Genomic DNA, 24,165 nt, shown 5'->3' with positions numbered 1-24,165 from the left:
TGACCAGATAGTATGAATGGATTGAAAATTTATCAGGAAAAAAGGATGAGAGGAAATGCCAGGAGATGAGGGCAGAGAGCAGGCCGTTCTGGGGGAGGGATTCTGTGGGGACAGGGTGGCCTACTGGGTGTGCCCCTTTTCTCTTCTCTGTCTCCCTTAGATAAGACCAGCAGTTTTGTCATCCTCTCCCTCTCATTCCATGGTCCCGCAGCCCCAGGCCCACACTGAAAGCATGTCGATCCAGGAGAACATATCATCCCTGCAGCTTCGGTCATGGGTCTCTAAGTCCCAAAGAGACTTAGCAAAGTCCATCCTGATTGGGGCTCCAGGAGGTAAGAAGGGGAGACAGAAGCCATGGAACATAGGAGGAAAATGAGGGTGAAAACTAGGAGCCAGGGTGGAGGGCATAAATGATCCACATCAGCCACTGGCTAGGTGGGTTTTGGAGAGGAACGTACGTTCTTCAGAGCCTCCCGTGTGTTAAATTATGGACCCTGGCCTGGGTCTTTTCCAGGCCCTATAGGCAGGCCAGAGCCACAGCATGTAAGCCACGGGGCACTCCCGTGGTTCCTGGACTCTGGCCCCTGGCATACAGGGCTTCCAATGGAACAGGAGACAGTGGTGACACTTTAACCAGTCTGCAGAACTGATCCCCAGCCCAGCTGGGCCTCATGCCTCTGACAACCCAACAGTGTGGAGCAGACCCACAGAGAGGGAGACCCAGAGAGGTGTGCAGTGGCATGGAAGGTGCGGCTGGAATCGGGGGCTCCTCTGAACTGGGATGGGTCAAGCTACAGGGACCTCTGTGTCTGTAGCAGCTTTGAGAAGCCTGGGGAGACTCAGAGGATGGGGTGGGGAAGCCAGCCAGTAGCCAGGGGTTGGAAGGGAGAAAACAGAGACCTTTGGAGCAGGAACTGGGTGATTCTGGGTCTGCATAGGGTGAGGCTGCTGGGGACTAGACATCAAGGGGTGGTGGGGTTGAGGGTCATCAGTAGCTGCAGGTCGGGGGGTCCTGGGTTGTGCGGGGTCAGTATAACTGAGTGGTCAAGAACTTGGGCTAGAGTTAGTCAGACCTAGATTTGAATCCTAGCTGATCCATACTTAGAAGCTGTATAATATTGGACCATTTATTTCCTGTTTCTCAGCCTCTGTTTCTTTATCCATAAAATTGGATAATTATAGAACATTTAACAGTACCTGCTTTATAGGATCCTTGTGACATAATAAAATAATATATGCATGATGCCCAGCTCATAAGAAGGGAAGGAACAGAGGGTATGCTGAGAGACGAAGGCATGGGGAGGAAGGGCAGGTGACATGCAGTCCCTGAGCCCCCTTCTACCACAGGGCCAGCGGGGTATCTGCGGCGGGCCAGTGTGGCCCAACTGACCCAGGAGCTGGGCACTGCCTTCTTCCAGCAGCAGCAGCTGCCAGCTGCTATGGCAGACACCTTCCTGGAACACCTCTGCCTACTGGACATTGACTCCGAGCCCGTGGCTGCTCGCAGTACCAGCATCATTGCCACCATCGGTAAGCACTCCCATCCCCCTGCAGCCACACAGGGCCTATTGGTATTTCTTGAGGTGCTTCTTCATCTTTTGTCTCCTTTGAGACTTCTCCATGTTTGACACAGTCATTCATTTAACAAAAATTTGTTGAGCATATAGTAGACAAGATTTTGGGCCCTGGGAGTAGATCAGTGAAAAAAACAGACAAAAATCCCTACCCTTGGGGAGCTGACAGTCTAGCTGAGTATGACAATAAATAGTAAGCACAATAAATTATTTAAAATAAGTAAATTATTTATTCCGTTAGAAAGTGAGGCCGGGCATGGTGGCTCATGCCTGTAATCGCAGCATGTTGGGAGGCCCAGGTGGGCAGATCACTTGAGGTCAGGAGTTCGAGACTAGCCTGACCAACATGGAGAAACCCCGTCTCTACTAAAAATACAAAATTAGCCGGGCATGGTGGTGCGTGCCTGCAATCCCAGCTACTCAGGAGGCTGAGGCAGGAGAATCGCTTGAACCCAGGAGGCGGAGACTGTGGTGAGCCGAGATCACACCATTGCATTCCAGCCTGGGCAACAGGAGAAAAACTCCATCTCACAAAAAAAAAAAAAAAAAAAAAAAAAAAAAAGTGGGCTGGGCTCAGTGGCTCATGCCTGTAATCCCAGCACTTTAGGAGGCCAAGGTTGGCAGATCGCTTGAGCCCAGGAGTTTGAGACCAGTCTGGGTAAATGGCAAAACCCATCTCTACAAAAAATACAAAACTTAGTTGAGTGTGGTGGTGCATGCCTGTAGTCCCAGCTACTCAGGAGGCTGAGGTGGGAGGATCACTTAAGCCCAGGAGGTCACGGCTGCAGTGAGTCATGATCGAGCCACTGTACTCCAGCCTAGGTGACAGACGAGACCCTAGAGAGAAAGAGAGAAAGAAAGAAAGAAGGAAAGAAAGAAAGAAAGAGAGAGAGAAAGAAGGAAGGAAGGAAGGAGGGAGGGAGGGAGGGAAGGAAGGAAGGAAAGAAAGCAAGCAGGCAAGAAAGAAAGAAAGAAAAGAAAGAAGGAAGGAAGGAAGGAAGGAAAGAAAGAAAGAAAGAGAAAGAAAGAAAGAAAGAAAGAAAGAAAGAAAGAAAGAAAGAAAGAAAGAAAGAAAGAAAGAAAGAAAGAAAGAAAGAAAGGAGTGAAAGTTGGCCGGGCATGGTGGCTCTTGCCTATAATCCCAGCACTTTGGGAGGCTGAGGCAGGTGGATCACCTGAGGTCAGGGGTCCGAGACCAGCCTGGCTAATGTGGTGAAACTCTGTTTCTACTAAAAATACAAAAAATTAGCCAGGCATGGTGGCATGTGCCTATAATCCCAGCTACTCGGGAGGCTGAGGCAGGGGAATCGCTTGAACCCGGGAGACAGAGATTGCAGTGAGCCAAGATCACGCCATTGCACTCCAGTTTGGGCAACAAGAGCGAAACTCTGTTTGTTTGTTTGTTTGTTTTTAAAAAAAGAAAAAAAAGCTGGGCGCGGTGGCTCACGCCTGTAATCCCAGCACTTTGGGAGGCCGAGGCGGGCGGATCACCTGAGGTCAGGAGTTCGAGACCAGCCTCAACATGGAGAAACCCCGTCTCTACTAAAAATACAAAAAATTATCCGGGCATGGTGGTGCATGCCTGTAATCCCAGCTACTCAGGAGGCTAAGGCAGGAGAATTGCTTGAACCTGGGAGGCGGAGGTTGCGGTGAGCCAAGATCGTGCCATTGCACCCCAGCCTGGGCAACAAGAGCGAAACTCCGTCTCAAAAAAAAAAAAGGCCAGGCGTGGTGTTTCATGCCTGTAATCCCAGCACTTTGGGAGGCCGAGGCAGACTGATCACGAGGTCAAGAGATCGATACCATCCTGGCCAACATGGTGAAACCCCGTCTCTAATAAAAATACAAAAATTAGCTGGGCGTGGTGGCACATGCCTGTAGTCCCAGCTACTCGGAAGGCTGAGGCAGGAGAATCACTTGAACTGGAAGGCAGGGAGCAGAGATCGCACCTCTGTCCTCCAGCCTGGTGACAGAGCGAGATTCCATCTAAAAAAAAAAGAAAAGAAAAGAAAGAAAAAGTGAAAGTTTTAAGTGCTATGGGGAAAGAAATCAAGTGTGATAAGGGCATCAGGAGTACGAGGGTGAAGACAGGTTGCAGCCCTAAATAGGGAGGTCAGTTATTATTGAGTAAATGAGACCAAAGGGAAGACTTGAAGGAGATGAGAGAATTAGCCATGCAGAGACCTGGGGGAAGAGAATTCCAGGAAGAAGGATCAGTCAGTGTCAAGGCCTAAGTCAAGAAGGTTAGAAGAGCTAGAAACCATCAAGGGGGAAGAGCGGCAGACATGAAGAGACTGTGTACGGACAGGAAGATCAGGTGCAGCTTTGTAGGCCATTTTTAGAATTTGAGTTGCGTTTTCCTCCGAGTGAAATGAGAAACTGCTGCAGGGTTTTGAGCAGGGGAATGACAAGCTCTTATTTATGTTTTAATAGAGCCTCCCCTCCCCTGCTGCTGCACTGAAAATAGATGGGGGGTGGGGGGAAGGGTGCCCCTGCAGTATTTCTGGCTCAGACCAGTTGGCGGCAGTGAGGTGGTGAGAAGTGGTCAGATTCTGAATGTATTTTGCAGGTAGAGCTGACAGGATTTGCTAATTGATCGGATATGGGGTATGGAGTGTGGGCGAGAAAGAAAGGAGTCAAAGGTGACAGGTGACTCTGAGGTTTTTGCCATAAGGAACTGGAACGATGCATTAGCCACTGAGCAGGAAAGACTGTGGTGGAAGGGGTTGGGGGGAGAGCAGAAGTTTGCTTGGGACATGTTGAGTCTGAGATGCTTATTAGCCATCCAAATGTGATAGAGGGGGCAGTCAGGTACACAACTCTGGGTTTGGGAGAAAGGTCTGGATTGGAGAGACATTTGGGAGTTGGCTACATATAGATGGTATCTCAAGCCATGAGACTAGTTGAGACCACCAAAGGAGTGTAGGTGAAATGACGGAGAAGAGAACAGGGTATCTAACGTTAAGGGGAGGAACAAGGAAAGGAGACTGGGAAAGAGCAGCTAGTGAGGTAGGAGTCAACCAAGAGAGGGTGCAGCCCTGGAGGTCAGGTGAAGACAGTGTGTCAAAGAAGGATGTATGTTCAGGCTGCTGATGGGCCAATAGAGGAGGACTGAGCATTGAGCATTACATGGAGCAAAAACACAGAGGTTCTTGGTGACCTTGACAAGAACAGATGCAGTGGAGAGATGGAGGCCAACGCCTGAGTGGGGTGGGTTCAAGGGAGAATGGGGGAGGGGAACTAGAGGTAGCAAGTACAGATAACTCTTGCGATGAGTTTTGCTGCAAGTGAGAGCAAATACTGGGACTGAGGGGAAACCAGGAGATTAAGAGAATTTTTTTTTAATGATGAAAGAAATAACAGTAGGTTTACCTGCGGATGGGGATGATCCAGTAAAAAAGGAAAACATGGCTGGGCACGGTGACTCACACCTGTAATCCCAGCATTTTGGGAGGGCGAGGTGGATGGATCACCTGAGGTCAAGAGTTCAAGACCAACCTGGCCAGCATGGTGAAACCCCTTCTCTACTAAAAATACAAAAAAATTAGCCAGGCGTGGTGGTGCACACCTGTAATCCCAGCTACTCAGGAGGCTGAAGCAGGATAATCACTTGAACTGGGGAGGCAGAGGTTGCAGTGAGCTGAGATGGTGCCACTGCACTCCAGCCTGGGCGACAAGAGTGAAACTCCCCCCGTCTCAAAAAAAAAGAAAGAAAAAGAAAAGGAAAACATGGGTGTCACAGAGGACCACAGAATGGCTTAATTTATGTCCTTGAGCAGGTGAGAAGGAGGAGACCTAGTGCACAAGTGGAAAGACAGATAGGGACCGAAGAATGAGCCAACCTGCTCTCGGCTAGCAGCTGCCCCATAGCAGTGCAGGCATGGGATAGAACTCAGCTCTCCTCAGTCCATGAGGCCTCCTAGCTCTAAAAGCCCGCACCCAAACGCCCTCACCTGGCTCCCAGCCCCTGCCCTACACCCCATACCCTGGGGTAGCCGGGCAAGCAGCACTTACATACCCATGCCCATACAGTGCCCATACATGCCCATACAGTGACCTCAGGCCTGGCGGAGGGCACTCCCCTCCGATTTCCACACTGCTGCCTCCCCAAGGGGATGGATGTTGGCTTGAGAGGGAAGGGGAGTCTGTGATCTGTGGGCAGGGGTTGCATCAGGGAATAAAGATCAGGTAACAGGACGCCTGTGGCGTGAGGCGTTCTGAGAATGGTAATGGGTTGGGTTTGGTTGCCTCTCATGTTCTGGGGGAACGTTGTCTGAACGTGAATCTCTGGTTCTAGGGCCAGCATCTCGCTCCGTGGAGCGCCTCAAGGAGATGATCAAGGCCGGGATGAACATTGCGCGACTCAACTTCTCCCACGGCTCCCACGAGGTGCGGGACGGGCCGCCGGGCAGTGGGTGGGGCAGGAGGATGCCTCGAGGTCCTGGCCACCTTCCCCTGAAACCCTCGCTCCGCTCCCTCCCCCAGTACCATGCTGAGTCCATCGCCAACGTCCGGGAGGCGGTGGAGAGCTTTGCAGGTTCCCCACTCAGCTACCGGCCCGTGGCCATCGCCCTGGACACCAAGGGACCGGAGATCCGCACTGGGATCCTGCAGGGGGTGAGCAGTGGGGCTGGGACTCGCTGGGCCAGGGCCGGAAAGGCGGCGCCTGTAGGGTTGGGCCCAGGCGTGGGCAGGGGCGGGTCCCGGACTCCGGGGCTCAGAACTCACATCTCCTCTGGCTCCCTCCTTAGGGTCCAGAGTCGGAAGTGGAGCTGGTGAAGGGCTCCCAGGTGCTGGTGACTGTGGACCCCGCGTTCCGGACGCGGGGGAACGCGAACACCGTGTGGGTGGACTACCCCAATATTGTCCGGGTCGTGCCGGTGGGGGGCCGCATCTACATTGACGACGGGCTCATCTCCCTAGTGGTCCAGAAAATCGGTGCGGACGCGCCTCCCGCCCTGACCACATCCGTGCGCTGGGCACATTCCCTTCTCCTTGGCTCCCCCATCAGCCCTCAGACCGATCACACCTTCCCCTGGCCACGCGTTTTTGCCAGCCCGTCCCAGGAGTCCCCAGCGTGTAGACTCTGCGCTCACCCTGGGTTTGGGCTGGACTATGGGTGGGTCGTTTCTTCCACGGACGTCCATCTGTGCCTCTTCCGGGCGAAGCCCAGAACAAGGGCGGAGAGATGAGGAGGACATGGTTCCTGACCTCTTGCGGGTCCAAGCCCCAGTGTCCTCTCTGCTGCAACTGTGCCCCGTCCTCACCCCTGACCGCAGCTGGCTCTTTCCATGTCCGCAGGCCCAGAGGGACTGGTGACCCAAGTGGAGAACGGCGGCGTCCTGGGCAGCCGGAAGGGCGTGAACTTGCCAGGGGCCCAGGTGGACTTGCCCGGGCTGTCCGAGCAGGACGTCCGAGACCTGCGCTTCGGGGTGGAGCATGGGGTGGACATCGTCTTTGCCTCCTTTGTGCGGAAAGCCAGCGACGTGGCTGCCGTCAGGGCTGCTCTGGGTCCGGAAGGACACGGCATCAAGATCATCAGCAAAATTGAGAACCACGAAGGCGTGAAGAGGTGAGGCTTGGGCTCTGTTCCCCTTCGGCCCTGTCGCTATTCCCCATCACCTTTCTTCTCCTGCCTGCCTCTGCCTTGATTCTCCCAACCTCTCAGGTTTGATGAAATCCTGGAGGTGAGCGACGGCATCATGGTGGCACGGGGGGACCTAGGCATCGAGATCCCAGCAGAGAAGGTTTTCCTGGCTCAGAAGATGATGATTGGGCGCTGCAACTTGGCGGGCAAGCCTGTTGTCTGTGCCACACAGGTCTGGAGTGAGGCCTTGAGGTTCGGCACTCTGTGGGTTTTAGGGACACCTGTGGGTGAATACCCACACTGTAGGGGTTTATTTTGTTTTGTTTTGTTTTTTGAGACGGAGTCTCACTCTGTCATCCAGGCTGGAGTGCAGTGGCGCAATCTCCGCTCACTGCAACCTCCGCCTCTTGGGTTCAAACAATTCTCCTGCCTCAGCCTCCCAAGTAGTGGGGATTACAGGTGACCGCCGCCATGCCAGGCTACTTTTTGTATTTTCAGTAGAGACGGGGTTTCACCATGTTGGCCAGACTGGTCTCGAACTCCTGACCTCAGGTGATCTACTCGCCTCGGCCTCCCAAAGTGCTGGGATTACAGGTGTGAGCCACTGCACCCAGCCCACACTGTAGGTTTATAGCACATTTGGATGAAAAGTGTTTGATCCTCAAACGACAAAGTTAAATATACTTTGACCCCTATTTTCAGGGGTTGTGACCAAACGACAAAGTTAAATATACTTTGACTCCTATTTTCAGGGGTTGTGACTGTGACCCTGGATTTTGGGACACTCTGAGAGTGTGGGTGTCAGAGAAGTAGCTTGGGCAGGGTCCCCAGTCACAGTGTGAGTCCTACAACTTTGACATCCACGCTGTCCCCCAGATGCTGGAGAGCATGATTACCAAGCCCCGGCCAACGAGGGCAGAGACAAGCGATGTCGCCAATGCTGTGCTGGATGGGGCTGACTGCATCATGCTGTCAGGGGAGACTGCCAAGGGCAACTTCCCTGTGGAAGCGGTGAAGATGCAGCATGCGGTAGGAGCTCAGAATGAAAAGCAAATGGGCCAGGGAACCAAATCCCTTCCATACCCCAGTGCCCCTTCCCAGACTAACATTCTGGCACCTGCAGATTGCCCGGGAGGCAGAGGCCGCAGTGTACCACCGGCAGCTGTTTGAGGAGCTACGTCGGGCAGCGCCACTAAGCCGTGATCCCACTGAGGTCACCGCCATTGGTGCTGTGGAGGCTGCCTTCAAGTGCTGTGCTGCTGCCATCATTGTGCTGACCACAACTGGCCGGTGAGGGGGATATTGGGAATGTCCAGATGGAGCTTTGGGTCAGGGGTGGGCTGGGACGGGCCCCAGGCTTGGGTTTAGTCTGGTCACCAGGGGTGAAGAGTGTCCACCTGAGACAAGAGGAGAGGCAGCAATGACAGCTGGAGGCCAGGAGAGACAGAATGCCAGTGAGCTTCTGGGGGCTGGAAGGGGACAGCGGCATCACTGGGCACATTGGCTTCAAGGCCATTTGGGCTTCTGGGGCTCAGAGGCAAGTCCATTCGGCCCACAGAGCCTACCAATACTGAGGTATTACAGAAGGGTCCAGTAGGTCTGAGTTTAAGTCTTTACTCAGAAATGTAGCTCTATTAGCCTGCTGTCTTTCCTCATGAACAGGACAAGGTAATGATTTGTTCTTCATGGGGTTGGCAGGATTAACAGGAGATATTAAGTACTAGATAGTACTTAATATCTATATAGTAAATTAAGCACATAATGGACTTTCTCAAAAGGGTTTTATACTCTTGGGTTTTTGTTTGTTTGTTTTGTTTTGTTTTTCTTTTGAGAACGGCAGCTCGCTCTGTTGCTCAGGCTGGAGTAAAATGGTGCAATCTCAGCTCACCACAACCTTCACCTCCCAAGTTCAAGTGATTCTCCTGCCTCAGCCTTCCGAGTAGCTGGGATTACAGGCGCATGCCACAACGCCCTGCATATTTTTTGTATTTTTAGTAGAGACAGGGTTTCATCATGTTAGCCAGGCTGGTCTCAAACTCCTGACCTCAGGTGATCCACCCTCCTTGGCCTCCCAAAGTGCTGGGATTATAGGCATGAGCCACTGTGCCTGGCCAGCTTTTATATTTCTTAAAGAGATTTCTCCTTATTATCTCATTTGATATATCTGTATTATCTCATATCTTTCTTGTGTGGTAGGGAGGGCAGGCATTCTTTCTTTTTTTTTTCTTAATGCAGAGATGGGGTCTCACTATGTTGCCTAGGCTGGTCTCCAGCTCCTGGGCTCAAACAATTCTCCCATCTCGGCCTCCCAAAGTGCTGGGATTACAGGCATGAGCCACCGCTCCCGGCCTGGGAGGCAGGCATTCTTACACTCATTTTACAGGTGAGAACACCAAGGCCCAGAGAAGTATGATGACTTACCCAGGGTCACACAGCTTGTTAGTGACACCTGGAACTGGAACAAAGATTCTCCTTTCCTCGTTCACCACTTTCTTGCTGTTCTGGGCTGACCTTCTCTGCCTCCTCCAGCTCAGCCCAGCTTCTGTCTCGGTACCGACCTCGGGCAGCAGTCATTGCTGTCACCCGCTCTGCCCAGGCTGCCCGCCAGGTCCACTTATGCCGAGGAGTCTTCCCCTTGCTTTACCGTGAACCTCCAGAAGCCATCTGGGCAGATGATGTAGATCGCCGGGTGCAATTTGGCATTGAAAGTGGTGAGCTACCTAGACCTTCCCTGCCACTCCTACCATTTGTATCAGGAGCCCCCCAACCCAGCTTCCCATACCCACTCAAAGGGCCTTGCCTCTCTCCTGTGGTCCCAGGTTTTCCCTGTGAGAGTCACTAAGACTGAGATATCAGTCTGGCATATCACAAATACCTCTTCCATCAGCATAGCCACACAGGCAGACGGCCGTGCTACTTAGCAACACACTCTGCCCTAGCCCACAGATACTCCTGCACCTTTTTTTTTTTTTGAGAGAGAGTCTTGCTCTGTCGCCAGGCTGGAGTGCAGGGGTACGATCTCGGCTCACTGCAATCTCTGCCTCCTGGGTTCAAGTGATTCTCCCACCTCAGCCTCCTGAGTAGCTGGGACTACAGGCATGCGCCACCACGCCTGGATAATTTTTGTATTTTTAGTAGAGACAGGGTTTCACCATGTTGGCCAGGATGGTCTCAATGTCTTGACCACGTGATCCGCCCGCCTCGGACTCCCAGAGTGCTGGGATTACAGGCGTCAGCCACCGTGCTGGCATCTCTTACACCTTTAATATACTGCAGTGGTCACATTCCCTGCATGCCACCCGTGGGACATACTTCACTGCCTCATTCCCTACAGGATGGCCTTGATGTGGTGAAAGGTGGTGGCTGGTTCTCGTTACAGGGCTGGCCTGGTCCCTCAATGACTAATTTTCTTTCTTTTCTTCTTTTATTATTATTATTATTATTATTATTATTATTATTATTATTATTATTATTATTTTGAGATGGAGTCTTGCTCTGTCCCCAGGCTGGAGTGCAGTGGTGTGATCTCGGCTCACTGCAACCTCTACCTCCTGAGTTCAAGCGATTCTCCTGCCTCAGCCTCCCTAGTAGCTGGGATTACAGGCATGCGCCACCACACCCAGCTAATTTTTGTATTTTCAGTAGAGACAAGGTTTCACCATGTTGGCCAGGCTGGTCTCAAACTCCTGACCTCAGGTGATCCTCCTGCCTTGGCTTCCCAAAGTGATGGGATTACAGGTGTGAGCCACCACACCTGTCCAATGATTTGTTTTCTTTCCCTCCCCCAGGAAAGCTCCGTGGCTTCCTCCGTGTTGGAGACCTGGTGATTGTGGTGACAGGCTGGCGACCTGGCTCCGGCTACACCAACATCATGCGGGTGCTAAGCATATCCTGAGACGCCCCTCCCTCCTCTGGCCCAGCCTACCCTTGTACCCCATCCCTTCCTCCCCAGTCTACGTTCTCCAGCCCACACCCCTCCAAAGCCCCACCTTTAAGTCCTCTCTTCTCTATTCCTGACCCTCCCTACCTGAGGCCTATCTGAGACTATAACTGTCATCTAGCCCCTTCGAGGTTGCCCCTTCCCCATCTCCATTTCACACAGGTCCTGAAAGTCTGTGTCCAATTATGCACTGGCCACCCAACAGCACCAATTGTACATTCCCTGCATCCAATCTGCTCAGCAGGCCCTAAGATGCCTTGAGTCTTTAATCCCAGTTTGGCTGGTTAATTCCATAACCCCAGGCATCCCATCCCTTGGGGTGGGGGAGAGGGGAGACAGGGCAATCTTGTCCACAGTCTCCCATTCTCATATGTAGCCCTCATGATAATCTGGGCATCTCGTGCCAGGGCAGGCTACCCCTTCATGGTGACTAACAGTTACATGAAAGTCCACGCTTTTGGGAAAACTGGGTGGGATGGATGCTGGGGAGAAGTGAGGGCTGGGCAGCTGATTTTGTCACTGTCTTCACAACCTCCGTGCTGGGCTTGTAGACCACTGTCCTGGCTGCTCTCATGCCTGCCTGATACCCTGCTTGGTCAAATCCCCGGCTGCTTCCTTCTGCACCCAGAAATTCCTTCCCACTCATGTTGTTCCCACACACAAACCAAGAGCCAAAAATGAGTGTGTCTATTTTATATTTAAACCCAGCTGTTTGGAAGCAATTATAAAACTTCTCCCACACACCAAGAACCCCAGAACTCCCCACCCAGAAGGAAAGGAGACTTAGGGTCCTGGTCCCACAGTCTTTAATGCTGTAGAGTAGGAGAGGGGACAGGCAGAGTGAGGGTGGTAAAGGACTACTCTTGTCCCTGAGAAGGCAGAGGTGCTGGCTGGCCTGCCCTTCCCCAGGCTTGGATACCTTGGGCCTTTCCCTTATTCCTGCACCAACAGCAAACTCAGAAGGAAAAAACAAAACAAAACTCTAAAGGTAAACGCGGTCCTTCTCCCTCTCTCATGTGGCTCCTCCTGCCCCTACCTGGGAGAAGGTTCAAGTATTGCGCTGATGGGTTTGGGCAAGGACCACAGAGGCTGGCATGGAGAGGCCCTGCCTCCTCCTACTCCTCCTGTCTCCTTACCTGAAAAGGAGGGGAGGGATGGATAAAGGAATGGGTAAACAAAATTAATTGGTAACACATAAAGTTAGTAAATGAATAAATACAATTAAATAAATGAATAAATAAACAAGCGAAGAAAAAAATATCACACAAGGATTCAGCCATTTGCCCCTCCACCGGGGGGGATCTAGGCTGGCATATTAATAAGGAGGTGCCAACTACCCCTTAACTTTTAGGGGGTCACGACTGGGGCAGAGGGTACAGGGAAGAGGAAGCTCGCAGTTTACAAAAAGATGGTCTACCACAGGACAGAGACTGCAGGGAACTTAGAAGTATGTTCCCACTCAGAGGGTAGACACAGAGTGTCCACAGGTGGCAGTGAGCGGGTAAAAGTGGATACCCACACTCAGGACCCAAGACATCTGCTGACAGCAATGGGGGCACAGGTGACTGGCAGTGCCTGGCTATGCTACAGGAACAGGAAGATAACCAGACCGGGCAGAACCTGCAGGATCATTGGCAGGGAAACAGAGACATCTAGTTACTTGGCAGTGATGGCAGTGGCAAGTACTTGTGCTTAGTAAAGGTGGGGTCATGGGCCTGGGCCTGCACCTGGCAGGACCATAGCCAAGGGAATATCCTTGTCAGAGGGTTTTGAGTCACTTCTACTTGGCAGTGGAGACATACAGCGCCTGGCATATTACCTTGAACATGGTAGCTGCTCAGTACACATGATGAACGGGTGAATGGATTATGATGGGACAAGCTACAGGATTCTTGAGCTGAGGACACAGAGACCGTCTTCATGGCAGTATGCGGAATGTCCGCACAGGGTCGACATTTCCATGGGGCAATGTTTCAGGTCCCCATGGCCTTCCCCAAGAGGCATCTGCCCTTGGGTACATACTACTGCACCCCAAGAACTAAGGCTGGATGTACTCAAAGGTTTTACATGTTGGCAGAAAGCTGGAGACCCCGGGGTGTGGCTGGCTCAGGCACTGGTGGCCTGGGGGGCTGGGCTGTCCTTGGAGGTTTGGCCAGGAGCCCTGAGGGAGGCAGCCGCTCACTTCCTGATCCCTTACGCCCAGGAGAGCCATCGCCTGTTGCCCGCTGAGGCAGAGAGGGTTGGGAGGCTGAGAGTGGGCGGCCCCGAGGTCCTAGCCGCCGTCCACCTCCTCCTGGAGGGGGACCCAGCAGGGAGACCTGGGAGCGCCCTGCCCGGGATAGGCTGGCGTGCAGGGTTCGGGCAGGTGGGGCGGGCAGGCGGGAGGTGGATGCCCATGGGCCAGCTCGGACGGGCACCAGCGGGGAAGCTGGAGAGCCTGCTGAGCGCCAAGCAGAGCGAGCAAGGAGGGTGGCTGGAGAGTCAGGGGAGAGGGGCAGAGGGCCCCGCTGATGAGTCAGGGCAATGGCCACATTGGAGGTCACAGCAGCTGCCTGAAGGGGCGCATGTACCAGTGGCTCCCACAGTACTGGCTTTCCACTAAGCTGAGCTCCTGTGCTCGGGGCCCGACCCCGAACACCCCGAGCCATGTCTCTGTCATGTTGCACCAAGTGCTGCTCCATGATGCCACCACTGCTGCCTGGACTTGGCTCGGAGCGCTTCCGCTGCAGTATGGAATTCTTCTTGCCTAGAAGTTGTACCGGGAGGGAGAAGTTAAGGATAGGGAAGGAATCCAAGATGGATGTTGGATATCAAAGAGTATGAGAGTATCAGGATGGGGTGGGGTTGAGGGTAGGGGATGGGAGTCAGTAGTATGGCAATGGGGCTATGGGGGTTGAGATGGGGGTTGGAGGAAGAGGGTATGTATCAGAGACAGCGAGGGTCAGGGGACTGGTACTCAGGGGAAGGAGGACTCAGGACATGGGGGCTTGGGATGCTATCTCTCCTGGGAAGGACATGCTGAGGGATAGGGACAGTGGGCCACAGTGTTGAAAGTCCTGTTAGGGAGCATTTGTTGGGACTGAATGGATTGGGATATGACCCTGGAGCCCTAAAGCCTGGGCTCCTTGCTTTGGAGGTGGGGTGAGAGCACAGTCTGGACCCAGAGCAGATGGGGTGGACAGGTCTCACCGATGCGGAGCAGCCGATCCATGGCCACAGTCTCAAAGGCCCGGCGCATCATGGGGAACTCCTCAAGCACAGCATTGAAATGGTCCACGCTGAGTGAGTAAAGGCGGCAGTAGGTGTCAGCCCGAACACTGGCTGTGCGCCGGCCCCTAGTTAGCAGGCAGATCTCTGCAGAAATTGGGAGGAAGCTTCAGAACCCCGTCCTTGTCCCCAGAACTCCTCTTGCTGAGCCTGCAGCAGTGGACCCAACTTTCTAAGGCTCCTCCCTAGACTTGGGAGAAACCATTGATTACCTATTACCTCCGTGCCCCAGGAACCCTAAACACCCCAAGCATTGTCTTTCTCCAGACCCCCACAATTACTGGGTTACTGCTCCCTGTCCTTCCTACTCTCTCCATATGAAGGCTGATGACCAGGCAGGTCTTGCTGGCCCTAAATTCCCAGTGATTCCACTCCACTTTAACTCCCACCCCTCCCCGACTGCTCAATCCCAAGAGGTAGACCTGGGCAACTCAGTGTACCCACCCCTCCCACCCCCTTGAATAAACACTGAGGGCAGCCCTGAAGGAGAAAAGCAGTATCAAAGAGCAAAGTGCAACATGATGGGAGTAGTGGGTGGTTTGGGGACTGAGAGATTATATAAGCCTCAGGTCACTTTGGGCAGTGGAAGGCTGAACTGCCCCTACTGCCACAGGCTGGGTCCCTGAAACACGCCACCAGGCAGCTCCAAAAAGCTTATGCTCCAGGACAGCTCTGCTTCACTCCTGCCTTTCCCTCATCTCATAGGATCCTTGGATTTCACTGTCTAAGGGTTCTAAAAGGCCCTCTGGCCCAGTAGTTTGCAACCTGGCTGTGCATTAGAATCTCCTGAGAAGCTTTAAAAACTACAGAGCTCAGGCCTGGCACGGTGATTCACGCCTGTAATCCCAGCACTTTGGGAGGCTGAGGCGGGCGGATCACGAGGTCAGGAGATCGAGACCATCCTGGCTAACACAGTGAAACCCCGTCTCTACTAAAAATACAAAAAATTAGCCAGGCGTGGTGGCGGGTGCCTGTGGTCCCAGCTACTCGGGAGTGTGAGGCAGGAGAATGGCGTGAACCCAGGAGGCAGAGCTTTCAGTGAGCCGAGATTGCGCCACTGCACTCCAGCCTGGGCAACAGAGCGAGACTCCACCTCAAAAAACAAACAAACAAACAAACAAACAAAAACTATAGAGCTCCAGACCCCAGCCCAGAGATTCTCACTGAGTAGGCCTGGGGAGGGGCTGGAGCTCTGTGATTCTGCAGCGTACTGAGGCAGGGACCCAGAGCCTGGGAGCAGTTGCCCTCTCCACTGTCTGCTCGTGACCCTGCCACCCTCCCTGAGGCCTGCTGACCCCCAAAGTAGGATCCATCGGTGAGGCGTGTGTCCCGGGCGCCGCGGGCCAGCACACTGAGCAGCCCATGCTGGATGAAGTACATCTTCCTCCCCACGGAGCCCTCACGCACCACGAGATCCCCCGGCTGGAAGACCTCAAAGCGCAGCTTGGTGAGAACTGCAGTGACGAAGCTGGGGTCGGCATGGGCAAACAGCGGCATGTGGGCCACCAGGCCCCGACAGGTGAAGTTAATGATCTCCTGGACAGGGGAGGGGCCTGTCAGGCAGGCTGTGCCCCTGACCTGAGATGATCCCACCGAGCTCATCCGCTTCCAGAAACCCCACCCCTGGGGTCATGTTCTGCCAAAGGATGGGGAGGCATCAGTGGGCCTGGGACCATCCCTAAGCTCCTGCCTTCAGATCTTTCCCATGAGCCCTTGCAGGACCATCCCCCAAAAACAGAGATCCCTATAGTCCCTCCTCATGTATCCTTCACCCTCAAAGGGCCTTCAAGAAAGACCCTAGCCCCTGAAAGCCCAAATACCTGGCCTCCCACGGGGCCCTCTGCAGGCCTCATTCCCTATAGGAGCACCTGCTGACCAATAGCCCCTACCACCAGACAGCACTCCAGGTCCCTGAAGAGCCCCCCTTCCAGGCCCAACCCAGCCCCACCTCGCGAAGCGGCTCGCTCAGCTCGCCCAGGATGCTTTCCTCATCGAACATCTTGCCCTGGTAGCGGTGCTCATAGTACTCGTGGATGCGCTGCCGCGTGTCTGCTGGCAGCTTGTGGAAGGACATGTACTGCTCCACCTGCTTGTACTGGAGGGCCAGCCCATTGCCAGGGGCAAGAGGACAGAGGGAGAGATTTGGGGCCGGCACAGTGGGGTGTGTGTGCGGAAGGTCAGAGACACAGGTCAAACTCAAAGGGGTGAAACGTGGAACCAGACATGGATACACAGGGCCACAGAGGAATACGGATAATGATGGATACCGGGAAGACACAGAGCACAGTCATAGGAAAACCCAGGCGTGGACAGCAGAGGGGCCAAGCACAGGCATAGGTTCAAACAAGGAAAAGGTACATGCAGGGGCAGGGAACAAATGGACACAGGGCAGGAAAGGAAACAGAGACGCAACAGGGGCACACATCAGAATGGGCCTCAAGTCAGGCTACCCAGTCTCCAACACCCCTCCATGCCACACCTCCCTCTCCTGTCCCTGCTGACCTTCTCCTGGTACTGACGCCGGGAAGAGTCCAGGGACTGGATGAGTGCCGTGGCATGGCCGATGAACATGGCGTAGCATGTGGCACCTACGATCATGCTGAGCATGGTGAGCCAGACGTCGGGCATGCCTACAGGTGCCTGCTGCCCATAGCCAATGCACAGCATGTGGCTCATGGCCTTGAACAGGGCATGGGAATACTGGCGGCCCCACGAGTGGTTCTGAGGGGCAGAGTATATTGCAGAGCTGGGCATGGGCCCCTCGGAGCCTCATTCTCTGCCTGCCCCTTTTCCTTCTTTGGTCTTTCTGTCTGCCCCTTCTACTGCAGGCCTTCCTCCTGGCAGGCACTTAAGTTTGGTTCTGGGGGGCCCTGAGGCAAAAGGGTCCTCTATTGCAACTTGGGGGCCTCAGCTTCCGGGTAGGTACCCTTCCTTTGCCTGCTCCCTCCAACACACGAGCACTTCTTCTGGGTCTCCTTCCCCTTTCCTCCCTCCTCCCCACCTCCTCGCTCCTATTTTCTGTTGTGATCATCTCCCACCTCCTGCTCCCTGTGGCCATCCCTGCTACTCAGGCAGAAGAGCCCTAAGAAGGCCCAGGAAAGGCAGAGCTGTGGGGACTTCTCACCACCATGTGGTTGATGGAGACCCAGCAGTCGGGAGGGAAGTCCTGCAGCATGGGCACCAGGAACTGCAGACAGCCATCCCAGTGACATAGCAGCAGCATCATCCCAATGAGGTTGAAGATGCGAACCACAGCACTGGCCAGGTCATAGGTCATGTGAAAGATCTGAGGAGTCCGAGGAGGAGCTGCTGTGGACAGGAACCCCTCCCTGCTTGTCCTCCTCCATTCCCAGCCTGGCAAATTCTCTTCTGAACTACTCCCTAGCCCCAGCCCCCATGAATTAAAAAATACAACTATTATTCATTTGTGTGGAGTTTTGTGGCACACATGTATAGCTAATGCAAAGCAGTTTCTTATTTCTCTCATCTTATAGATAGGAAAGCTGAGGTCAGTCATGTGCCCAGAACCACATAGTAAGTGTCACAGCAGAGAATCAAACAAATCTATTGCACAAGCTGCCCAGGTGTAGCCTAGAAAAGAGAGAGGGCATTTCACAGTGTAATGTCTCCAGGGCATATGTGTAAGAATTAATCCAGCAGCCCTCTCCTTTCCAGTCATAATAATATATAATGGGTGGGGGGAGGGGGGAGGGATAGCATTGGGAGATATACCTAATGCTAGGTGACGAGTTAGTGGGTGCAGCGCACCAGCATAGCACATGTATACATATGTAACTAACCTGCACAATGTGCACATGTACCCTAAAACTTAAAGTATAATAAAAATAATAATAATAATAATATATAATAGTGGCTTCACTGAGAACTTAGTATGTGCTAGACACCTTTCTAAGTGATTTGCATGTATTAATTCCTTTAATCCTAACAGTCTTATCACAGGTAAGTGTATTTAACACTCTCATTTTATAGAACAGAAAACCAAGTCTCCTATAGTAAACAATAAAACTGGGATCTGACCAAAGACAATGAGACTGCAGAGCCCACAGTCTGAACCACTAAACTCTGCTGCTCTGAAGCTGAAGCTCCAGCTTCTTCCACACCTCATCCTCCGCCCAGCATCCAGCTAACTCTAAAGTGTGTCCGGCAGCTGTGCTCCACCCTCCTGTGCCACCATCTTCACCCCAGGCCCCATCCCCCGAACCCTCATTCTGTTCCTGCTTCTCCCCCACCAGTTTTGGAGAGAGCTCACGCACGGAAGCCCCACCCATCTTCCCCACACTATAAGGTCACCAGGAGCCCCACCCATAGCATCTTCCTAGAGAAGTCCACCAGCCGCCCCGCCCCCTTCTCCCCCAACATCCCCCACCCACTGCCCCGCCCGCCATCTCCCCACCCCACCTCCTCCCACTGGTGTATGTAGCGGATGAGGCGGGAGAGGCGGAGCAGCCTCAGCAGGCTTAGGATCTTGGTGAAGCGAACGATGCGTAGGGCCCGTGCCGTTTTGTAGACCTCAGCGTCCAACCGTGGCTCCAGCTCCACCACTAGGAAGATGTAATCCACAGGGATAGAAGAGATGAGGTCAACCAGGAACCAGGTGCGCAGGTAGCGCGTGCGGATGGCCCGCGGTGCCAGCAGGATCTCAGCACCCTCCTCCACCACGATGCCCGTTCGGAAGTTGAGCACCAGATCCAGTAGGAAGAAAGTATCAGACAATACGTTGAAGACGATCCAAGGCGGGGAGTTCTCCTCCTTGAAGAAGGTGATGCCCACAGGCAGGACGATGAGGTTCCCCACCATCAGCAGCAGCATGATCAGGTCCCAGTAAAACCTAAGGTGGGAGTGAGATGAGGAGTAAGACCATGAGGATATTTCACCAGCCACTAGACTGACAGAAGATAGGCTGACATGGCCAAGAATGGGCAAAGATACACAATAACAGAATGACTGTTTACAGCTGTTGGGAGTATAAGTTGGGACCACCATTTGGGAAAATAGTTCAGCATTATCTAGTGAAGTTAAACATTTGCATTCCCTGCAACTCAGCAATCCCATTCCTACGTATAGACACATCCAAGGAAAATATGCGCTCCAGGAGATACACATAGGAATGTTTATAGCAGCATTAAATTTGAGAACAACACACATGTCCTTGTGTAGAAAAATGTAGACAGATAAGTAGATAAATACACTATTTATGGGCTGGCATACCATACAGCTGTGAAATTACCCAACTACAGCTACATTCAGCCCTATGGATGAATTTCACAAATGCAATGCTGAGCAAAAGAAGCAAGAAACAGCCTGGGCAACATAGTGAGACCTCATCTCAACAACAAATAAAAAAAATTAGCCAGGCCAGGTGGTGCACACCTAAAGTCCCAGCTACTCAGGAGGCTGAGGTGTACTCCAGCCTGACTGACAGAGCGAGACCCTGTCTCAAAAGAAAAGCTATGGCTCACGCCTGTAATCCCAGCGCTTTGGGAGGCCAAAGTGGGATCACTTGAGTCCAGGAGTTCAAGACCAGCCTGGGCAACATAGTAAGATCCTATCTCTACAAAAGTTAAAAATTAGGCCAGGCCTGGTGACTCATGCCTGTAATCCCAGCACTTTGGGAGGCTGAGACTGGCGGATCACCTGAGGTCAGGAGTTTGAGACCAATCTGGCCAACATGGCAAAACCTCGTCTCTACAAAAAATACAAAAATTAGCTGGGCATGGTGGCGAGAGCCTGTAACCCCAGCTACTCAGGAGGCTGAGGCAGGAGAATGGCATGAACCCGGAAGGCAGAGGTTGCAGTGAGCCGAGATCGCACCACTGCTCTCCAACCTGGGTGACAACAGTGAGACTCTGCCTCAAAGAAAAAAAGAAGAAGGCCAGGTGTGGTGGCTCACGCCTGTAATCCCAGCACTTTGGGAGGCCAAGATGGGCAGATCACAAGGTCAAGAGCTCGAGACCATCCTGGCCAACATGGTGAAACCCCGTCTGTACGAAAAATATAAAAATTAGCTGGGCATGGTGGTGCACACCTGTAGTCCCAGCTACTCGGGAGGCTGAGGCAGGAGAATCACTTGAACCCGGGAGGCGGAGGCTGCAGTGAACAGAGATCACGCCACTGTACTCCAGCCTGGGTGACAGAGCGAGACTCCATCTCAAAAAAAAAAAAAAAAAAATTAAAAATTAGCCAGGCGCTGGGTGCGGTGGCTCATATCTGTAATCCCAGCACTTTGAGAGGCCAAGGTGGGCGGATCGCCTGAGGCTGGGAGTTCGAGACCAGCCTGACCAACATGGAGAAACCTCATCTCTACTAAAAATACAAAATTAGCTGGGAGTGGTGGCACATGCCTGTGATCCCAGCTACTCAGGAGGCTGAGGCAGGAGAATCGCTTGAACCTGGGAGGTGGAGGTTGCCATGAGCCGAGATTGCGCCATTGCACTCCAGCCTGGGCAACAAGAGTGAAACTCTGTCTCAAAAAAAAAAAAAAAAAAAAAAAAAAAAAAAAATAGCTGGGCGTGGTGGCTCACGCCTGTAATCCCAGCACTTTGGGAGGCCAAGGTGGGCAGATCACAAGGTCAGGAGATTGAGACCATCCTGGCTAACACGGTGAAACCCCATCTCTACTAAAAAAATACAAAAAATTAGCTGGGCATGGTGGCGGGCGCCCGTAGTCCCAGCTACTCAGGAGGCTGAGGAAGGAGAATGGCGTGAACCCGGGAGGCGGAGCTTGCAGTGAGCCGAGATTGTGCCACTGCACTCCAGCCTGGGCGACAGAGCGAGACTCCGTCTCAAAAAAAAAAAAAAAAAATTAGCCAGGTGTGGTGGCGCGCACCTGTAATCCCAATCCCAGATATTCAGGAGGCCAAGGCAGGAGAATTGCTTGAACCTGGGAGTGAAGGTTGCCGTGAGCTGAAACCGCTCCACTGCCCTCTAGCCTGGGCGAGAGTGAGACTCTGTCTCAAAATAAATAAATAAATAAAATAAATAAATAAATAAAAATTTGCCGGTGTGGTGGCTCACACCTGTAATCCCAGCACTTTGGGAGGCTGAGGTGGGTGGATCACGAGGTCAAGTGTTCGAGACCAGCCTGGACAAAATGGTGAAACCCCACGTCTACTAAAAATACAAAAATTAGCCAGGCGTGGTGGCATGCGCTTGTAATCTCAGCTACTCAGGAGGCTGATGCAGAAGAATCGCTTGAACCCGGGAGGCGGAGGTTGCAGTGAGCCAAAATTGTGCCATTGCACTCCAGCCTGGGCGACACAGTGAGACTCCTTCTCAAAATAAATAAACAAATATAAAAATAAATAAATAAATAAATAAAATTACTCTTCCATCTACATACATATCCCTACTATATATCATTTACCTCACCATTGCTAAATATTTTTAAGGTTAAAAAAAAAAGCTAAAGTATCCTGTGCTAATCTCACAGCATTGCTGAAAACATTTACATGGAGACAATAGATGTGACAGTGTGGTACAGGCACTAGTTGGTATTATGACTCACTCACTCTTTATCCCCAGATTTCTGAAAAGGCTGCTGCTTCCCCCATCTCCAGTTATCTGCCCATTCTAGTCTAGGACCTCATGCCCTCCCCAGCCTTCTCCACCCCATTCCTCTTCTCCAACACAGTTGGACCCACGGATCCTGTTCCTCTGCTGAGGTTTGCTCATCCATGTCTCAGGGTGGGGTGGTCTATCCTGCCTTCCTCTGAATTGAGCTTTCCAGGGATGCCCTTCCCCCTCCACAGAACCTCAAACAGGGCTGCACACACAGAGAAGCTCCACAGGAGATCATGAAGCAGCAAGGCTTGAGTTCTGCATACCTTTCCTCCTCTGGCCTCCCTGTGTCCACTGGGACTCTGGCTGAGCACAGGCAGAGGCATGGGCAGGGGTGAGTGACATTGCTGTGGCAGACACCGTGGAAAGAAGAGGTCAAGAGGGAACTGTGTGAAGCCCTCATTCAGAGAATGGCACAGGAAAATCTCAGGGACTCAGTTACCTATGGTGGTTTTAATTCTAGGACACACCTAATCCCAGTGTCAACTCAGGAGCTAGCCCCTTCTGACTCGGACTGCAAAATCAATTTTCAGCCCTGAAAGAAACTTCCTCAAGTCCGGGCCTCTGGGAAGCCCCTTAGACTGTATGTTTTCAATAAACAAAAACCCTCGGCCATTCTTCTTTTCTCTCCTCGGCTGCTGAGGAGGAATCCTGTATTGTGAGACACTAAGAGAGGGGAGGGAAAGAGGGTTCGCCTAGCCATGAAAGCATCTTCACAGCCTGACTCACAGGTGGGTCACAAGCCTGGCGGGTGATGTAGTATAGAGAATGGAGAAGCACAATCAGAGGGATACCAGGCTTCTGGGGATCCGTCTGCGAGTGAACTGAGGGAAGAGAGTGAGATCCACAGGAGACTAGAAAAGGCGCACTGGCTGGGTGGGAACGAGGCAGCAAAGACAGGAGTGAAAGGAACAATGGGAGGAAGAGAGACATAGAGGGAGTGTGTATATATGTGGATTCAAGATAATGTCTGGGTCTACAACTGTATTTCGAGGCTCCAGATTCACACCTCTTCCTCTCTGCTTCTTTAGTTCCCCAGGTTAGGTGCTTTGCACACATCCCTGCCTCATCCAAGAGCTGTCCTTCATTTCCCCCAAGGACAGGGCTGCTGTCTTCCCCTAGCGACCTTGATGTAGAGGTACACCCTGACGGAGACTGTGAAATGGCCCCACCCCCACCCTCTGTTCCTTCTCTGGGAGTCACCTGGGTGGTGGTCCTGCCCCTGCTTTGCCGCCTCAGTCACTCTGAGTCTCGGCCCCGCCCCGCCGCCCCCGCCTTCAGCACTAGGGACAGCGACCAGAGCTGAGGTCTGGACCCCCCGCCCCCTTCAGCGTCCCTATTTTTCCTGGTAGTCTGTCATGCTGAACTAGGCAGGTGCTAAGGAGCGGGTGTGGGGATGGGAGATGGCGGAGCTCGGCTTCTCCCTCAGACTGGCCCCGATACTTAGAATATAATTTCCTAGATCTCCAGCAAGCAGGACTGGAGGAGGCAGGGGTCCCAAACTCTGGTAGTTCCTTTGGTCCGGATGGGGTCCCGGGTTCCTGAAAGAGGAAATCCAGGTCTCTGGAGATCCCCTGATGTCTGCTTGCCCCTTCTGGTGCCCCCAGCCTGTCCAGGCACGGAGGACCTCCGGCAGGGGATACCCGCCCAGGAATTCCCAGGCTAGACTGGTGCAAGTGACTCTCCCGCCCCACCAAGGGACCCCGGGCTGGAAATGAAGTGACCGTGGAGGGTGGGGCGGGCCGGGTCCCGGTGTCGCTGCCCGCGAGGGTGGGATTGATGTACCCTGCCCTCCCCGCCAAGCCCCCAATACCGGAAGTCGCTGTAGGGGTGGATGATCCAGGCCCCCGCTGACTTCACCCGCTCCTGCTCGATTTCCACTGCTTTGTGGCTGCCGAACACCCGAAGGGAGAACTTGTTGACCGTAGGCTGGAGCAGCGTCCCAAGGTGCCTCCTCTTAGGCTCAGGCCCAGATTTGGGGATCGGACCTGAGGCCGCGGTCGCAGGCGGGGGAGCAACGGGAGGCACCGCCTCCAGTCCAGGGGTCGCCCCTTCGCTGGCCCCCGCCGCCGGCCGCTGCTCTGCCTCCATGGCGCCCACCCCGCTTACACGCTCGGCCTCCTAGAGCCCTCTGTGGCCATCAGGTACCCGCAACCCCTCCAGAGCAGGAGTCGGCGCAGCCCCGCGGGCTCTAGCGGAGGCGTCGTAGGCTCGGAATC

The 24,165-nt window shown here is 53.3% G+C and overlaps 2 protein-coding genes across 22 annotated transcripts in view, besides 2 other annotated features; one reads left to right on the top strand and one right to left on the bottom strand.

Moving 5' to 3' along the window:
* PKLR (pyruvate kinase L/R) overlaps positions 1 to 12,335 on the top strand; it is a 19,362-nt gene extending 7,027 nt beyond the window's left edge. For 2 of the 7 annotated variants that reach the window (XM_047422591.1, XM_047422592.1), the window contains exons 2-12: positions 212 to 332; positions 1,348 to 1,530; positions 5,872 to 5,963; positions 6,060 to 6,191; positions 6,326 to 6,512; positions 6,876 to 7,146; positions 7,243 to 7,393; positions 8,038 to 8,190; positions 8,285 to 8,451; positions 9,691 to 9,872; positions 10,950 to 12,335. In XM_047422591.1, the coding sequence (XP_047278547.1) occupies positions 233 to 332; positions 1,348 to 1,530; positions 5,872 to 5,963; positions 6,060 to 6,191; positions 6,326 to 6,512; positions 6,876 to 7,146; positions 7,243 to 7,393; positions 8,038 to 8,190; positions 8,285 to 8,451; positions 9,691 to 9,872; positions 10,950 to 11,056 (1,725 nt within the window). In that variant the 5' untranslated portion in view covers positions 212 to 232 and the 3' untranslated portion in view covers positions 11,057 to 12,335. Of the gene's footprint in view, positions 1 to 189; positions 333 to 675; positions 748 to 1,347; positions 1,531 to 5,871; positions 5,964 to 6,059; positions 6,192 to 6,325; positions 6,513 to 6,875; positions 7,147 to 7,242; positions 7,414 to 8,037; positions 8,191 to 8,284; positions 8,452 to 9,690; positions 9,873 to 10,949 lie in introns of those variants that run through there. The other 5 variants (NM_000298.6, XM_011509640.4, XM_006711386.5 and 2 more) reach the window with 5 other exon arrangements.
* Positions 6,989 to 7,521: an enhancer, noted in NCBI's record as "H3K27ac-H3K4me1 hESC enhancer chr1:155263898-155264430 (GRCh37/hg19 assembly coordinates)". NCBI's record gives its function as "activates a minimal SCP1, AML or CMV promoter by ChIP-STARR-seq in naive H9 embryonic stem cells {active_cell/tissue: H9 hESC(naive)}" and the evidence as "EXISTENCE:reporter gene assay evidence [ECO:0000049][PMID:30033119]".
* Positions 11,780 to 24,165, bottom strand: HCN3 (hyperpolarization activated cyclic nucleotide gated potassium channel 3). Of its 15 annotated transcripts, none has more exons than XR_007062431.1 (10): positions 23,760 to 24,165; positions 18,788 to 19,217; positions 17,493 to 17,654; positions 16,871 to 17,089; positions 16,317 to 16,463; positions 15,664 to 15,904; positions 14,291 to 14,455; positions 12,921 to 13,847; positions 12,621 to 12,721; positions 11,780 to 12,237 (listed from the first exon to the last, which is right to left on the bottom strand). XR_007062431.1 is itself a non-coding variant. In NM_020897.3 (8 exons), the coding sequence occupies exons 1-8, from the start codon at positions 24,035 to 24,037 to the stop codon at positions 13,165 to 13,167; spliced, it is 2,325 nt and encodes a 774-aa protein (NP_065948.1). In that variant the 5' UTR covers positions 24,038 to 24,165; the 3' UTR covers positions 11,780 to 13,164. The 15 variants fall into 15 exon arrangements, 6 of the variants coding, with proteins under 6 accessions (NP_065948.1, XP_011508118.1, XP_011508119.1 ...); XR_007062432.1 differs by lacking the exon at positions 23,760 to 24,165 and adding an exon at positions 22,213 to 23,538; XR_921904.3 differs by having other exon boundaries at positions 12,621 to 13,847.
* Positions 16,476 to 16,976: an enhancer, noted in NCBI's record as "H3K4me1 hESC enhancer chr1:155254443-155254943 (GRCh37/hg19 assembly coordinates)". NCBI's record gives its function as "activates a minimal SCP1, AML or CMV promoter by ChIP-STARR-seq in naive H9 embryonic stem cells {active_cell/tissue: H9 hESC(naive)}" and the evidence as "EXISTENCE:reporter gene assay evidence [ECO:0000049][PMID:30033119]".

Source organism: Homo sapiens, chromosome 1 (assembly GCF_000001405.40).
Source record: "Homo sapiens chromosome 1, GRCh38.p14 Primary Assembly".
NCBI lineage: Eukaryota > Metazoa > Chordata > Mammalia > Primates > Hominidae > Homo > Homo sapiens.
Note: the sequence above shows the minus strand (reverse complement) of the source record. Positions and strands in the feature narration are given on the sequence as shown.